Raw genomic sequence first — 18,799 nt, forward strand, 5'->3', positions numbered from 1 at the left:
AGCCATCCTCTTGCCTTGGCCTTCCAGGATGCTAAGGATTACAGTGTAAGCTGCCATGTTAATATATTTGACATATTTCTCCATTCCTTGAAAACTCTATGCTATGACAATAGTCTTTTTAGTTATATTAATAATCTCTAAACACGTTAACCTATTTCTTTTATATAAAATATGTCAATAAAATATTTAGATATATCTTTGAATGTTAGAATTTTACTGTAGTGAATTTCCATAATTTTATGTTGCCTCAGCATCTATTTTGAATATAAGTTGGACTTTCTCATGCCAGAAACAAGGCTTAGTCATCCTTGACATAGTTTCCAGCTTTCTGCCTCCTCCTAGTTCCTCAATGTGTCCATCCAGATATCTTCCCTAAACACCCACCTCCTGATGGCCACCTCCCTATGGGACAGCTAGATGCAACCCACTTGATTCACCCCGCCCACCCAAACATGGATAACATGACTTCCTGGGACTCATGCCTGTTTGCTCTAAACCCACCAATTAGAACTGCCCTATGGAAACCTGCAAGGATGACACCATGGACTTCAATAAAGGCTTTGGCTCACAGGTCTCTCTCTTTCTGTTTGTCTTGTTCCCCATTGGCTGATTGAGTGCATGTGTCCCCGATGGCTACCCCTTTTTCTTTGACCCTGTAACACATTCAGTAGCGACAGTAAATGCGCGATATGTATGCTGCTAAGGCTTCTTTCCTATCTCACTGCAAATCACTGCACTTATTAATACATGATGAGGTTGACTTGACCTCAAAATACCCATCAACTCAGGTAGTCATTACCAATAAACCAGAACTGGTAATGTAGATGAAACTAAACGTTAGCTTTTTCAAGCACCATTAGTAATGTAGATTTGATCTGTGTTGCTATGATCCAAGTCTACTCTAGTTTCAGTTTTTTAATCAGAAAACCAACTTGTTCATTTACACTTGGGTGTTTTTCTAGTATGCACGAAATGCCAATGCTTGTTATCCCAGGCTTCTCAAATGTTAGGTACCAGGAAAATCAAATGTATAATCAGATTCTATTTTACAAGTTTGGACATGGAACAAAGACAATAAGACAGTTTTAAAATATCTATGGTATATCCCAAGGAATTCTCCATTTTGAATATTTTATATTCTTCAAAGGGTAAATATATTTAAGGACACTAAATCAATTTTTGCCTTTGTGTATGTGGAATTAAAACTGCATTAGGCTCAAGTGACTTTTCAAAATTTAATTACACCATACCTTTCCTGTTTGTATCTTCCTTATGCCATTGACAGGCATCATTTCATCAGTTTTTATTATTCATTATATTTTCCATATTTATGGACATTTTTATTATGTAAGTATCAGTTTGGATTCTTTCAAAAATATATAGAGAAACATTCAAATAATAAATAAACTCTTTCAAAACATATGGCTGGGCACAATGTCTCATGCCTGTAATCCCAGCACCTTCGGAGGCCAAGGCAGGGATATCTCTTGAGGTCAGGAGTTCAAGACTAGCCTGGCCAATATGGTGAAACCTCGTCTCTACCAAAAATACAAAAATTAGCCAAGCGTGGTGGCACGCACTTGTAGTATCAACTACTTAGGAGGCTGAGGCAGGAGAATCGCTTGAACTCTGGAGTCGGAGGTTGCAGTGAGCCGTTATCACACCACTGCACTCTAGCCTGTGCAGCAGAGGGAGTCTCTGTCTCAAAAAAGACAAAAACAAAAAAACAAAATATGTTATGGATGGGTTTTTTCTGGAAATCTATCAATTGTGGATGTGTATAAGCTTCAATTCTGATGGCTGTCCTTCCCAGACTTGATGGTTTTGTTACTTTCCTGTAAATTACAGAACCTAATTCACTGTGAATTATGTTGTCCTCTATCCACTAGTCATACATTCAAGATAAGATCTTTTATTTAAGGCCCAGGTACTATTTTAAGTGAGTTAAATCTCACTATACAAATGATGTACTCTTTATCTTATACAAAACTGTGTTAGAAACATAAAATAAGTAGGGAAAACTGCCGTGTTCATTTGAAGATGATAGTATACAATCGATATCAAAACTAGATAAGAACAATACAACAAAATAAAAATTTTAGACCAATTCCACTTTTGCATAAAATGATCAACACCTAAATGAATAAAACACAGATTATCCTCCAATAATGTGTATAAAGCTCATCATAATGCATCATAATAAAAGCAACAAATGCATCATAGTAAAAGTTGATCTCATGAATGTGATTAATATAAGTTCACCAATATAATTCACCCAAATCACGAATTAAATGAAATAAATAAATAAACTTAAGACATGTAGACAAAGCATAAGAATTAACAATTTTTTTTATTTCTAAAACTATCTTAGCAAACTAGAAATAGGCTGGAACTCCCTTATAAGCAAAAAGTACATCTTAACATAAAAAACCTACAGAAAATGTTAATGTATGAGGCTCTAGAACAATACCATTAAAATCATTCACACACAAGGCTGCCTGCTATTAACTATTTAGTATTTAGCATCACATTGGAAATCCTAGCCAGTTTAGCAATGCCAAAAATAGACAAATAAATAAATAACTTACAGGAATAAGATTAGGGAAAAAAGCATAAAAGCTGGTTATCATGTGCAAAGGATAAAATTGCGTTAGGTTCATGCAAACGTAATTGCAGTTTTTGTATTGTTGAAATTTGCTGTTTGATATTGAAATGCATTCTTAGATAAATGTGGTTATCTTAATGTGCATTTCTTGCTTTATGTTTTTTGCTAATGACTTATTAGTTGCCGTTTATTTTATATTTATTTTAGACTATGGAAATGATGTTAGACAAAAAAGCAAATTCGAATGATTTTCTTACTCCATTTCAAAATGGGTCATAAAGCAGTGGAAACAACCCACCACATCAAGGAATTTGTCCCAGGAACTGCTTACAGTTCCGTGGTGGTTCAAGAAGTGTTGCAAAGGAGAGGAGAGCCTTGAAGATGAGGCGCTAGCAGGCCACCACTGGAAGTTGATAACTATCAATTAAGAGCAATCATCAAAGCTGATCCTCTCACAACGACGTGAGAAGTTGCCAAAGAACTCAATGTCAACCATTGTAACCTAGATGAAACTAAACATTAGCTTTTTCTGAGCTCCATTAGTAATATAGATTTGATTCATGTTACTATGATCCAAGTCCACGCCAGTTTTCATTGTAAATTTTATATACACATACAAAATTGTGTATATTTATAGAATTCAGTAAGATTGCCGGATATACACAATGGTCGTTTGGCATATGAAGCAAATTGGAAAGGTTGAAAACTTGATAAGTGGGTGCCTCATGAGCTGAGCAAAAAATTTAAAAAATCATTTAAGTGTTATCTTATTCTATGCAACAACAGTGAACCATTTTTCAATTGAATTGTGACATGCGATGAAAAGTGGATTTTACACAACAATCAGCAACGACCACCTCAGTGGTTGGATTGAGAACAAGCTCCAATGCACTTCCCAAAGCCAAACTTGAACCAAAAAAAGTTATGGTCACTGTTTGTTGGTCTGCTGCCAGTCAGATCCACTACATCTTTCTGAGTCCCAGCGAAACCATTACATCTGGGAAGTATGCTCAGGAAATCAATGAGATGCACCAAAAACTGCAAAACCTGCAGCTGGCATTGGTCAATAGAAAGGGCCCAATTCTCCTCCATGACAAAACCCGACTGCATGTCGCACAACCAACACTTCAAAAATTGAACTTATTGGGCTACAAAGTTTTGTCCCACACGTCATACTCACCTGACATCTTGCCAACCGACTACCACTTCTTCAAGGATCTCGACAATTTTTTGCAGGGAAAACACTTCTACAACCAGCAGGGTGCAAAAAATGTTTTCCAAGAGTTTCTCAAATCCCGAAGCATGGATTTTTACAATACAGGAATAAACTTATTTATCAGTGTCAAAAATGTGTTGATTGCAATGGTTCCTGTTTTGATTAATAAAGATGTGTTTCAGTCTAGTTATAATGATTTAAAATTCGTGGTCTGAAACCACAATTGCTTTTGCACCAACCTAATATGTATGTGGAGAGATTGTATATAAACACACAAAATTATGTGCATATATGGATATATATATATATCTCTCTCAAGAAGATTGCTGGACACACACATGCATGTGTGTATGCACATACACTATATCTATAGCTGTATCTGTACCTATCTATCTATACTTATATCTATGGCTATGTCTACATCTAAATCTATATATAAAATCACCATGTATATGTTTGTGTATACATATACTTTCTTATATATCATAAATCTTTACTAAATATAATAAAGTAATATCTTATTTACAATTCCAGCAATATTTAAATGTAGCTGAGATTAAATTTAACAAAAGCAGTACAAAAATTTAATAGAAAATAATGCAAAACTCTGTTAAGGGTATAAAAAATAATATATGGAGAGATTTGCTTTGCTCATAAATAGAAATGATAGTATAAAGATGTCAATTTTAGTACAATCTATACATCTGATTCAGTTTCAATCAGTATCTTAAAAGACTTTTTATAGATATTTACAAACTTTCTATATTATTTAGCTCTTACTAACAAAAAAAAACAATTTGAGTAGTAAATATAAAAAAAATCCAAGAAAATTTCAAAGATGAAGGTAAGGAGAATTTTTTCTTTAATGAAGTAAAGACTGATTACAAAGCTATGGTACTAAGGCATGTAATGTTAGTACAAGGATGTTTAAATTGAATGAAGAAACTGACATCATAAGCAATAGAAAAAGAGAAGATAGCCCGTAATTAGTCCAGGCACAGTTAACTATTAAAATATTTTTTTATATCAGGCTACATAAAAGCAAATAAATTCTAGATGGACTAAGTCATATATACGAATAAGAGAACTTTAGGCCCGACATGGTGGCTCATGCCTGTAATCCCAGCACTTTGGGAGTCCGAGTCAGGTGGAACACTTGAGCCCAGGAGTTTGAGAACAGCCTGGGCAACCCTGTCTCTACAAAAAATACAAAAATCAACCAGGCATGTGTGTCTATGTCCTAAATTTTCCTGGCACGTGATGACAAACCCCAGAGTATATACCCCAGACAATGCAGCCCCTTCACTACCTGAAGACTTTTTTAAAATTCAGGTTCTGATATACTATATCTGGGGTAAGGGGTGCCGACTTCTACATTACTAATAAGCTCCAAAGTGATGTCGAGTTGCTGATCGTTGAACCATCCTTTGAGCAGAAAAGCCATAGGTATGTTTTTTAACCTAATAATAAAACTGTATCTATTTGCAACTAATCCTAGTAAGATTTTTGTGGGGAAATTGAGCAGAGTAAAAGATTAGTAATGTACCAGGGCTGCCTCCTATTGAAGTAGCCTCATTGTCTAGGATACCCGAAGTTCGTTGTCTCATGACCAAGGAAATTAAGAACGTGAACACACAAGGAGTGAGGTTGAGTGGAAGCTTAATGGGCGAAAGAAAGAATAGCTCTCTCTGCTGCAGAGAGAGGGATCCCAAACGGGTTGCCGGTCCGTAACAAAATGCAGGGGGGTTTATAGATACCTGGTGAGGAGGCAGTGTCTGATTTACGTAGGGCGCAAAAGATTGGTTGGACCAAGTGTGCCATTTGCATAGGGCACAAAAAAATATTTAGGACTAGGTGTGCCATTTGCATAGGGCGTGAGTTTCTGGCCGTCCCCATCCTAATCTTTTATTACGCAGCTGCCTGGTCCTCTGCCTGGTCTGTGGCATGTTGTACATTTGGTAACACACAGAAAATGGAAGATAGAACCTCACTGTTGGATATGTTTGGCCCCAAGGTGGGCCCTTTTATATTGGCGCAGCTACCGGCATTCCCCCGTGAAAGCTTCTAGCTTGCCTATTTAGGTTTGCAGCTCAATTTTTCAGGCTGCTTTTTGTTAGAAAAAAATAATAATAATTTATTGGGCTGCTTTTTGTTAGAAGGGAAGCTTTGCCAAGGACTCTTTTACCCTCACTATCTGCCTAAATAATTTCTTTCTAGCTCCTGTATGGTATATCCCCCCCTCAGGAGTGGAAATCCTAACTGCTGTTAGAGGGTATTGGAAGATAACTCCTTCTGGCTACTTCCTGCTGGAGAGATACGTCATGTGGGGAACAGCAGCAAAGGCTCCTCCTGGGGTCAATCTAAGGGTCCTGTAAAGGTCCTGCATGGTTCTATCTGCAACACCATTTGGAGTTCAATAGCTTCTAGGTGAGAAGAGGTAAATTTTACAAGAAGGTTTAGAATACAGATTTTGAATATGAGTATTAAGATTACCACTATTAGTGGGGATACTACAGGCCATAACCATGACAGTGGAGTTTGATATCTGTTAGCAATTTCGATGGGTTTTAATACTGGTTGCCTCCACCAAATATCGCTATACTTTACCAGAAGCATTAATAAGGAAGCAAAATTTTTCTTTTCTTTTCTTCTCTTTTTTTTTTTTTTTTTTTTTTGAGACAATCTCGCTCTGTTGCCCAGGCTAGAGTGCCGTGGCGCGATCTCGGCTCACTGCAAGCTCTGCCTCCTGGGTTCATGCCATTCTCCTGCCTCAGCCTCCCAAGTAGCTGGGAAAACAAGCGCCCGTCACCACGCCCCGCTGATTTTGTTTTTGTATTTTTCGTAGAGACTGGGTTTCACCATGTTAAGCAGGATGGTCTCTGTCTCCTGACCTCGTGATCCGCCCGTCTCAGGCTCCCAAAGTGCTGGGATTACAGGCGTGAGCCACCGCGCCCGGCCAAGAAGCAACATTTTTCTTTGAGTAAAACATGTATTCCCCCTTGACTTGCCGTTAGGAGATAATTTTAGGTCTGGGCCATCTTTTGTAACTTGCGATAATATTGGGAGGAATACGTTATTGGGTGACCAGAGTAACTTTAGTGTTAACCTTAGCTGAATCTTTCCTGTAATTATTAACCCTGCTATAAAGATGATAATTAGGCAGAATACAGCAATTAGAATTTTCTGTCCAGAATTCCACTTTGCAGGTGCCACAGTAAGTATAGTCCTACCACAAATAGTAAAGTGAGGATAGCAATCCTGCAAGTGTGCTGTAATAAATAATTTCCATCTAAAATTTTACTCACCAAGACATAGAATGTCCCTTTGGGTGTCTATGAAGTTACAAATGTAACCTCATGGATAATCAGAATCTCTCTGTAAGTACACATCATAAAGAAGTTCTAATATATGATGGTGAATCTCGAGAGGAAAAGTAGAAATGAGTGAAAGTATCTGGTAAGGTAGGGGTGGGATTGAGTAGGAGAAGCAGCTCTCACTCATTTACTTATGTCCTAGACAAATTTAATAAATTCAAGCCAAGACAAAAACATAATGCAGACATTCAGGCAGAAAAAATGCTAACTACCAAAATACAACAATCTAATTTTTCTTAGATTTCCATCATGCTAAATCATTGAATGATACATCACAAAATTTTCTTGAATTATAATTGGTTACAATACAAAAATTTTCAGGTCCTGTTTTAAGCCATTTGAAATTTTAAATAAAATATACCTTGTGATGAAATGTAAATCAAACCACATCTCTGGTAATTCTCAAAAGAGAGAGTTGACAGAGTTGTTAACCCCAGTACTAGATAAGATATGGAAAGGTAATTCATAAAAGAGGAAATATAATTAGCCACTCAACACAGGAAAAATGTGTGCAACCTCTCTCTCTAATAATCAAATAAATAAGACTTATTCAAATAACATGAAGTATGTTGCCTTTATTAAATTGGCAATGATACATTCTTTTCATTAATTACGAGTGTTAAAATTACAGTTATATGAGCTCTGAATGTTATAATTTAGCATAACCTTTTAGGAAATCACTTTTTTACTATGAATATAAACATAAGAGTTTATATCTTTTGAATCAATAAATTATTTCCTAGGAATCCATCCTAAGGAAATAGTTAAAGAAACCTCCACACATGCATATACATAAAAGTTCAGCAAAAGATGATTTGTTATCACAAACAAAAACTTTAAATATCTAAGTATATGGGAGTGTTCATTTAAATTACGGTACAACAATAAGATAATTAGAAAATCATTAAAAACCATGTTTTTAAAGGAATGTTTATAAAAATTGAAAGTCATCATGATCTCATAGTGGGAGAAAAATGACTACATAAATTCTCCATCTAGTATAATAGCACTTAAATATGTAAATATGTAGATATGCACTTTAACAAGTGATCCTATATATTAACATCAATTCTCTCTGGATTATAGGCATACAAGCATTTTTTAGAAATTATTTTTATATTTTCCATATTATAAAAATAATATGTAAAGTAAGTTGAAAGAAAATAATAATTAGAAAAGAATAAACTTAGAAGAAGAAAAATTTTGGCAGGGCACATTGGTTTACGCCTGTAATCCCAGCAATTTGGGAGGCCAAGGCAGGTGGATCACTTGAGCTCAGGAGTTCGAGACCAGCCTGGCGAACATGGTGACACCTGGTTTCTACTAAAAATACAAAAATTAACCAGGAGTAGTGCCATGGGCTTGTAATCTCAGCAACTTAGGAGGCATGAGAATTGCTTGAACTCGGGAAGCAGAGGTTGCAGTGAGCAGAGATTGTGCCACTGTACTCCAGCCTGGGTGACAGAGTCAGACTCTGTCACCAAAAAAAGAAAAGAAAAGAAAAAGAAGACAAAAGAAAAAAAGAAGAAAATTTTCTAAAAAAAAAAAAAAAAGGAACAAAAATTATAGTTTTGAGAGGAAAAGTACTGTATAGCCAAGACATTTTAAATTAAAATATTATATTGTTGTGAATAATTTATTGGTAATTCTTTAATTTAGAAAAAATAGAAAAATGTACAGTCCACATATTTTCTTTTTTTTTCTTTTTTCTTTTTTTTGTTTTTTGAGGCGGAGTCTCGCTCTGTCGCCCAGGCTGGAGGGCAGTGGCGCCCTCTCAGCTCACTGCAACTCTCGCCTCCCGGGTTCATGCCATTCTCCTGCCTCAGCCTCCCGAGTAGCTGGGACTACAGGCGCTCGCAACCACGCCCGGCTAATTTTTTTGTATTTTTAGTAGAGACGGGTTTTCACAGTGTTCGCCAGGATGGTCTCGATTTCCTGACCTCGTGATCCGCCCGCCTCCGCCTCCCAAAGTGCTGGGATTACAGGCGTGAGCCACCGTGCCCGGCCTCCAGTCCACATATTTTCTTAAAAAAATTATTTTCTAGCAAACTAGAACACATTTGTAAATTAATAATTTTGTGATGGCCAAGACTTATTTAAAAGTGAATAGTGGAAAGTCATAAAAATTGTTAGAGAGTTAAGTTTATGTAATTATCATTAATAAAGTCTTTAATACAAATGTCAAAAATATTTCACAGAAGTGTTAATAATATAATTATACCAATTAGTATTATACTCACAGATATCAGAGAGGAAGTATATGGTATGTTTGCTCACACTATTATCTGGTAAATATCACCAGCTAGAACAGGCAAAGTTTGTGAATGAGGCTGGTAGATTTCTGTTAGAATCCTTTAAGAAAACAATAACAATAAACATACTGCAGAGAGTACCAATGTCAGAGATTGCAGGCAAAGGTCTTCTTGGGGGACAGTGCTTCAAGATCAACTTTAATCCTCAAGCTGAAAGAAGTCACAGTGACAAATATGTAATGAGTATTCTTATTTAATTCAAGAGATTTAAGTTCATTATTATTGAGACATTTTCAGTGTGGTAAAACCTTAAAAAAAATTAAATAAAAATTGCTCCAGAAAAAAAAAAAACCACTGCAGAAAGCTTCTACGAATCTGTTGGACTTGTCATTTAATGTCCTTATATCAAAACAAAGAAGCATCATATATTTAACTTCGTTTTAGGAGCAAAGAATAAGATGATTTTTAATAAGAGAAAATGATAATCATTTGGCAAAGCTGTTTGCCAGTGTGCAGTTTTTTTCACGAACTCCAAAAGAGGTCATGGGCCAGGTAGCATTGAAGCAATTTGAGAAAAAATAAAAGCACGCTAAATACAAAGCAACTCAAAAACACTACAGTACCAAATGGAGTGCTTCAAATTGCTCCTGAGTATCAGGATTTTATGATGCAGAATTTTGAGGGTCTATTTAAGAAAGCACTGTATCCATGGACTGTCCTAATCCTTCATCTAAAATAGTAGATATTCATGGCCTATCCCAGGTCCACTGCTTTATTTATTTATTTATTTATTTAATTTTAGATTCTAGGGCACATGTGCAGGTTTGTTACATGGATATATTATGTGATGCTGACGTTTGGGTTTCTATTGAACCTGTCACCCTAATAGTGAACTTAGTACCCAATTGGAATTGGATGCAGGGACTCTCCAGATCTAGAACAGGCTCCTCCCCACCAGACTTGCTTGGTCTGGACCTGCTAAAGGATCAGAAAGGAAGAAGATACTGAGAACTAGATGCATGTACTCAATAGTATTCCCATTCAGTCTTTGAAGCTTAGTATTTAGACCAAGGCTAGTGCGACCTTTTAAAAGGAATTTAAACAAAAGCAACTACTTAGCTCAGTGCCTAAAACAAAGTAGTTAGTAATTTAATAATAATTCATTTTCTTTTGTTACATTTTAAAATTGACTGAACATGTCATTTCTTACTGAAAAATTTGAATATACATAGGTTAGAAAAATAAGTGACCTTATATATGTATATATATATATCTGATTTTTTTCTTATTTATTTTCAATGGCATAATCTTATTTTTTTTCATTTAATTAGTAATCCTAAGTGGAAATATATTTCAAAATAGTTTTAAATATGTAACATGAAAAAAATAACACTTGAAAATTAACCCACATTTACTATGTGATCATTTTTCTTAAATCTATAAGTTAAACCAATAATATTTTATAAAAAGGCATAATCACAGACAATAGACATATGAATTCTTATGCTAAGGATTGAATTTTTACCAAATATAGAACAAATAATATTTATAAAATATGACTGATTTTTTATTTACATAGAAAGACGTTTCCTGGTTTATGATTTTCCATTTAATTATACCATACTTGCAAAAAAGTAAACTTTTTATATTTGAAAGGAAATAATTTAAATATATGTGTTAGCTTAAAAGTAGGTACATTTACATATTTGCACTTTGAATGTCATTCTCCAAGTAAAATACAAAGTAGTTACATGTACTTGAACTAGAGGTAGGTCAGTGTAAACTTCCCTGATTATAAATCCATTTGTTCTTCCAAAAGACCTATTTATTTTAAGCAGCAATCAGCAAACCACAGCCTATGGTCGAAATCTGGGTTGTGGCCTGTTCTGTTTTGTTTTTGGAATTTTCTGGGCCTTATGACAGTATCATCATCTCTAGCTGTTTTTCCTTTTTTTTTTTTTTTTTTTTTTTTGCCCCCTGTTTTAGGAAAAGTTTCCGTGATACAGAGCCACACTCATTTGTTTTTGTAATGTCCATGGCTACTGTCTTTCTAAACAGTAAAGTGGAGTAGTTGCGACAGAAAACTACGGCTGTGCAGCTTAAAATATTTGCTATCTGGCCTTTTACAGAAAAGTTTGTTGATTCCTGATATGGACAATAAAAGTTAACCCATTGTAATAAGTTCAGTGTATATAGATTTGGTTTGATTTATTTTATTTTATTTTATTTTATTTATTTTATTTTATTTTATTTATTTTATTTTTGGTATGTCCTAAAAGTTGTTTTATTGTGGAACATTGTTAACCTGTCCTTTTTTTCCTATTTTTTATTTTACTATACTCTCCTACTTTATTTGCCCTCTTTCTTTTTTTTAACTCCTCATTTTTCATTGCTTCTTCTTACTCTTCACTCATACATCTAACTCCATTTTAGGAGCACAATACGATAGGAGATTTTATTTTTTTAAGAAATTGGCAATTATTTGGCAAAGTCATATTACCAGCACTACAAAAGAGGCCATAGGCCAGTATGAATGGCCATGCACAGGGTGGAGGCAGAAAAGCACACACACCCCCAGTAATTCTACCCTCTGTCTCCTTACTTCTTCCCTCCCTTCACGTTACGTGACACAGTATCTCTTCATTAGCGAGCATGTACGAAAGGATGACTACCGAAATTCAACAGAAAGGATTTTTGTTCTCTGCATCTACAGGTTTTATTTCTACTCACACTTCCACATTTGAAGAATATTAAGTTAGAAGACATTATTTTCATCTTCTTTTGTCTGAGTCATGGAACATGTACATTTTTATATTATTCGAAGGTGACCAATGTGTAGTTTCATATTTTCAATGTTTGAGTACCATACTACTTGCTAACTGTTTGTGTACTGAGCAAATATAATAACTATCTGGGCCTCAGTTTTCTTACATGTAAAAGAGGACTGTTGTTAGGATTAAAAGATATATAAACAAGACATAAAACACTGTAAACATGCTTAGAACAGAGGTGGGCACAAGTAAAACACTTAGTATATGTGAACTATTCTTAAATAAGCAAACAAAATCACCATCTTTATTTAATATTTTCTAAAACTATTTGTGGACTTATTAGTGATTCCTGTTAGCAATAATTCTCCCCTTTCTTTTTAGACAATAATAAACATTATGCCTTGTATGTGTACAGTTTGGTGGAATAACTCAGTATTCATTTAAAGGTTTTGGATATTACAAGTGTCTTAAATGTGAGAAAGTGTCTCAGATTTAGATCTATCATTGTACCTGTTATCTCTCAGACAACAGAGCCATTAGCAATGAAGGGCTAACTGCTGATCACATATTTTTTATTATAAAAATCTTTGTAGAGACAGCATTTCATGGAGAAGCTTGAACATTGCTTGAACTGGTAGTAATTTCAGAAGAAATAAGTGATTCGAAGAAATATAATGGTGAATATATTCTATGGCCAGGCAGCAGTGATAGAAGGATCTCCTTTGACCCTATGACAATTGTTATTGATTATCTTGTGATGAAAATGAACAACTGTAATTCCTAGATAATTTAAATACATATTTCTACGTTATGCTTGGCTTTAACAGCTGTCTGTGTGTATATATGTGTGCATATCAATTTTAATCAGTCCCGTGGGACTAGAGAAATTAATGTCCTCTGATTTTTTTTATGTTTTATTGTGGATTGATAATGAGTATGTTTATACACCATTAGTAATACCAGCAGCAATATTTTCATAGCTGGCTGATTTTTAATTTGGGTTATATTGAGTACATTCAATATATTTCAACAAGAACATAATAGCTAAGGATGAGTGCCTGTAAAGGCTCTTCTTTGGATCTATTCATATTTTTGATCAACCATACCAACAGTTACTTTGTACACTCCTTCATGCCTATAAAATTATGTAACAATGTCCAATAGTTCTGAAACTATATCATAGATTTTCAATATGTACAACTGACCCTCAAATTTTCTAGTTTAAATAACTCTCTATCTTAGCTTAACAGGATGATCAATGATGCTGAAACAGGGTGGATGCACATAAGAGAGGAATCAGTGTTTTGATGTCATGGTTTCAAGCCAGATGATAAGACAAATGTTACATCAGGCACTTTGATGGAATGTTTCTGGAAATCAATAAACCTTGAATTTCTGACCCTTAATTTACTATGGACAAAATGATATCTATAATAAGCAGATAAAAGTGGTAGTCTTTCTATGTCTCAAAAAAAAGATATCATATATATAACCCTGTAGTTTGTGATCCATCTTTCTATGTATATAAGCTTATAATGAGGATGCATAGCTATTTATAAGCTAAGAAATGTAAGAATTAATTATATATATAACTATTGAATTAAAAATTAAGCATATTGCTTTTATGCTCTCATTCAACATGCATGTATTAATGGTCATATATGTACACATGTATGTATATATGAATGTAAGTGTATACATATATGGTTGTGCACATGCACACGTGCATATATAACTTGTGTCAGAGTTGCCATACAGTGGTATCATTTACACTGTATTCTATAGATCTGTGTGAAATGGAAGCCCTGTCCCAGATGCCGTATAAACACTGGTAAATATAATCAATATGGTGTCAATCCCCAATAATCAAAGTTCAGGAGAGATAAGAAAGTAAAGAACAAGGAAACAAACATAGAATTAGTATGTGTGATGTACCCTGAAGATGATAATATTAATATAAAAGAGTGGTCAAGGGAAGCTAAATTATAGAAAGTGGCAAGGGAAAGCTTTATTAAGAAAGCAAGACTTGAAGTTTGAGAAAGAACCAGTCAAATGAAGAGCGTGGAGACTGAGTATTAAAGGCAGGAGGGAAAACATGTGTTCAGAGAACACTGAAGCAGGAAGGATTTTAACAACATTGAAATTATCAAAGAATACCGACACAGCTGGAGAAGAGAGAGGGTAAAAAAAGACCTTAAAATGATATTGGTGATGTGTCTAGTGGCTGGATCATACAGGTCCTTGTAAGGTATATTTAACAGTGTGGATTTTATTCTTAATGCAATGTGGAGCCACTGCCAGCTTTTAAGTCTGAGAGTAGTAGCTTAAATAATTGACTCTGGATATTGTGTAATGAGAGCCTGAAGCAGAGATAAAGTAAAAATGGGAATAACAGTTAAGAAATCATGGAATCAATCCATGTAAGAGATGACAGTGGCTTTACTGTGATAATGGCAATGGAAATAGACATATTCAAATACTATTTTGAGGACAAAAAATGTCAGAAATTGGTAAATTATGTGATTATTTATCATATAATTTATGTGATTACTTATCACAACCCATCTAAGCTATTATCAATTTCTGGCATAATAAACAATAGCTATGCCCTCACAAAAATATCATAAAAAAGAATGAATTATAGGTATTATTAAAATATACATTTTTTTATGAGCAAAAGAAACCACATTTTATTCAAAGGTCTAAAACAGAAGTGTCTAGCCTGGGAGAGTAATGGGCGATCAGACGAGTAATGTTTACTTTTAATATGTCAAAAATGTTTCAGAATTAATGAATTTTCTTTGATGAGGCAACTTCAAATATCTTTGCTTAGGATGTTTAGGGCTTGACATGGAAAACTTTGTTTAGCTTTTGATAATGTATTTATTGTCTGTATATGATTCATCATGATGAGAATATTATGGATTCCCTTTAAATATTATCCAGTGTGTGTGTATACATGTGCATATATATGTGTTAATAAAGTAATGTATGCTTATAAAAACAAAACATATTTAAAGGAATAAAGAATAAAATAAAAACATTTAAAATTCTTCTATCCAGAGATAGCCTTTATTAAAATAATGGTATATTACTTCCAAGTATTTCCCCGTGCACACAAAATCACATACATGTACACATTCAAAGCAGAATGGCTATGTGGAAAATAACACAGAATTTAGAGTGAAGCAATATTGAGTATGAATACCAGAGTTTGGCTGCTGGCTAGCTAAGTATCCCTGAAAATGTTATTTGGACATTTTGACTCTCCATTTCCTCATCTTTATAAGGAGGGGAAGAATATTCAGAGCAATAATGCAGATAAAGTACCGTACTAATACATGCAACACCATGAAAACACTTAGATGAAAGATGTAAGTGAAAGAAGTCATACTCAAAAGGCTGAATTCTCTGTAGTTTCTTTTTGTGACATTTTACAAAGCAAAACTATAGGACAGAAAACAGATCAGTAGTTGCCATAAAGACAGGTTGGAAAATGATTGACTACAGTGGGGCATAAGGTAATTAATTATGCAGGGGGTGGGGGTGGAAGTGGAATTTTTTTACATCTTTACTTTTTGGTAGTTAAATAACTTTATATATTTATCAATACTCACAGAACTGTACTCTAAAATGAGTAATTTTATTGCATATAGTTTTTACCTAAAAAACCAAACCAAACAAAAACCTTTGAGAAAATTAGGAAAATCAAGAAATATTAAAATTCTAGTCAAGGATATCTACAAAAAAATTACGTCTACCATCATTCTTAACAATAAAATACTCAATATTTCCTAAGATTAGGAAAAGGGTAAAGATGTCCACTCTTACTTCTTCTATTTAACATTGTTCTACATATCTTAAAAAGTATTGTAAGACATAAAAAGTTATACAGATTGGAAAATAATAAGCAAAACAGTCATTCTCTGTAAGCAACTTGTTTGTGTATGTAGACAACCCTAAGGAACATACAAAAAACAATCTGTTAGAATAATTGAATTTAGCAATGTTGCAGGACAGAAAGTATTTTACAAAATCAATTGTATTTTTATATAGAAGAAATGAACACTTACCAAGTGAAATAGAAAGAAACAACCCTATCGATAATAGCATAAAATAAAATCTTAGGAATAAACGCAACAAAAGTTTCCTAAGATTTATACATGAAAAACACAAAACATTCAAAGTAATGTTGAAGGAGACACAAATAAATTGAGAGTCAGATCATCACCATGAATTAGAAGACTCATTATTTTCAAGATGACAGCCATTGACAAGTTGATCCATATATTCAACGCACTCTCAAACAAAATCTTAACAAGCATTTTTGACAAAACTGGCAGGTTGATTTTAAAATTAATATGGAAAGGCAAAGCATATATACTAGCCAAACATTAATTGAAGAAAAACCAAATTTGGAGGGTTTAAAATATCTGATTTCAATATTTGTTATGAAGATAAAAGTTATTACTGTGCAGTATTGATGTAAAGATAGACGTATTAAGCAATGTAACAGGACAGACTCATACGACCAACTGATTTTCAACAGAGATGCTAAGGTACTTTAATGAAGAGCAGCTAGCCTTTTCAACAAACGGTGCTAGAGCAACTTGATATGGGTATGGAAAAAATGACCTTTATATTATGGATATACACAAATTAATTCAAAGTGGATCATAGACCTAAACATAAAATCTAAAATTATTAAACTCATATAAGAGGCATAGAAAATGTCTTTGTGATATTGAGATAAGGAAAATATTTTATTTAAACATGGCATGAAGAAGTGGAAAATGTATAAAAAGATTGATAAAATGGAATTGATCAAGATTACAAAATTTGCTTTTCAAAAGATGTTGGCAATAAAGAGATGGAGAAAATTTTTATAAAACATATCTAAGGGGATGTATCCAGAATATATAAGGAACTCTTACAACTCAAAAACAAGAAAAAAATGAACAAAATAACTTGAACAAACCCTTCACAAAAGCAAATATAAAAATAGCCAATGGGTACATAGAAAGACGTTCAACATCATAGTCTCAGACAAATACAATTAAAAGTCACAATGTTACCACTGGACAATCAACAGAAAAGCTAGATTTAGAAGATTAACAATACTAAGTGTTGGTGAAGATGTAGGAAGATGATAAATCTCATGTATTTCTGTGGAGGATGCAAAATAACACAGCCGTTTTGGAAAATAGTATGCTAATGTAAATTTAAATCTATATTAACTTATCTAGCAATTTTATTTCTAGGTATTTGTAGAAGAGAAATGAAAACATAAGTTCATAAAAAGACCTATATATGTATGTCTATAACAACAATATTCATAATAAAAAATCCACCAGTCATCCAAATGTCCAGTTCAAGGTGGGTGGACCACAAGGTCAAGAGTTCAAGACCAGCCTGGCCAAGATGGTAAAACCCTGTATCTATTAAAAATACAAAAATTAGCCAGAAATGGTGGCAGGCACCTGTAATTGCAGCTATTCGGGAGGCTGAGGCAGAGAATTGCTTGAACCCAGGAGATGGAGGTTGCAGTGAGACGAGATCGCGCCTCTGCACTCCTACCTGGGCTGCAGAGTGAGACTCCATCTCAAAATAAATAAATAAACACATAAGAACAACTTATAACTCATTAAACACATGTAAGTCATGAAATCAAACATGAACAGATGCAGATTCAGTGCCAACCTATACAAGCCATATTGCAATTTAATTTTATTCAAGTATGTGTTTAGAAAAGACAAATGATTAAGGCAATAATTGCAGTTCAATATGTTTGGAGAAAGAGGAAATATCAAAGCATACTTTATTTCTTTGTTATAGATGTGATTAAGAAGAACTGTAGAAAGCTTTAGGATTCTTAAAATACACATTTTTATAGGAAAAAACTATTTTCCATAGAAGTTTCTAATAGCTACATTATTAATGCCTAAGTTTAAAAATTATACCTTAGAGGTACATAATTATTCAGAAAACTGTGAAATTTTTTATGTCCTATAATTATCGTGCTATAGTAGAAAACAATTTTGAGTTGTGTTTACATATCTGAAATTCCAGACTCTATTCTTTGGGGCAGTACTGCAAGATTCAATGGGTAAACCTAAAGAATTTCTAAAAGAATCAGAACATCTGTACAGTCTTTGCTATGCAATCATCTTTAAGAACACCTGAAAGGGAAGATGCACTTCACTTGCAGAAAAGTGAATTCTCTGCTAAATAAACAAGTCATTCTTAATGTTTTTGAAGAATAAAAGGACCACTTCTTGGCAAAGAGATACTTTAGAATAAAAGGAAGATGGAAAACACTTCTAAAGCTGCTGATGGAAGTAAAAGATCACTGACTGTGACAAGAAGCTCACTGAATTTGCAGTGTCTTGTGGCATAATCTTCCCCTTGAAGATCAGATATTAAGGGCAGAAAAGTAAACTTACATTTAGGATCTCTCATTTTAAATGAATAATCCCACAGAAATTGAACTTTTGATTTTTGACAATAAGAACTTCCTTATGGTGCATTTTTGAAATGCTTATTTACTCCTACATAATTATCATCGACTCCCAGCATAGGCT

Source organism: Homo sapiens, chromosome 9, assembly GCF_000001405.40.
Source record: "Homo sapiens chromosome 9, GRCh38.p14 Primary Assembly".
NCBI lineage: Eukaryota > Metazoa > Chordata > Mammalia > Primates > Hominidae > Homo > Homo sapiens.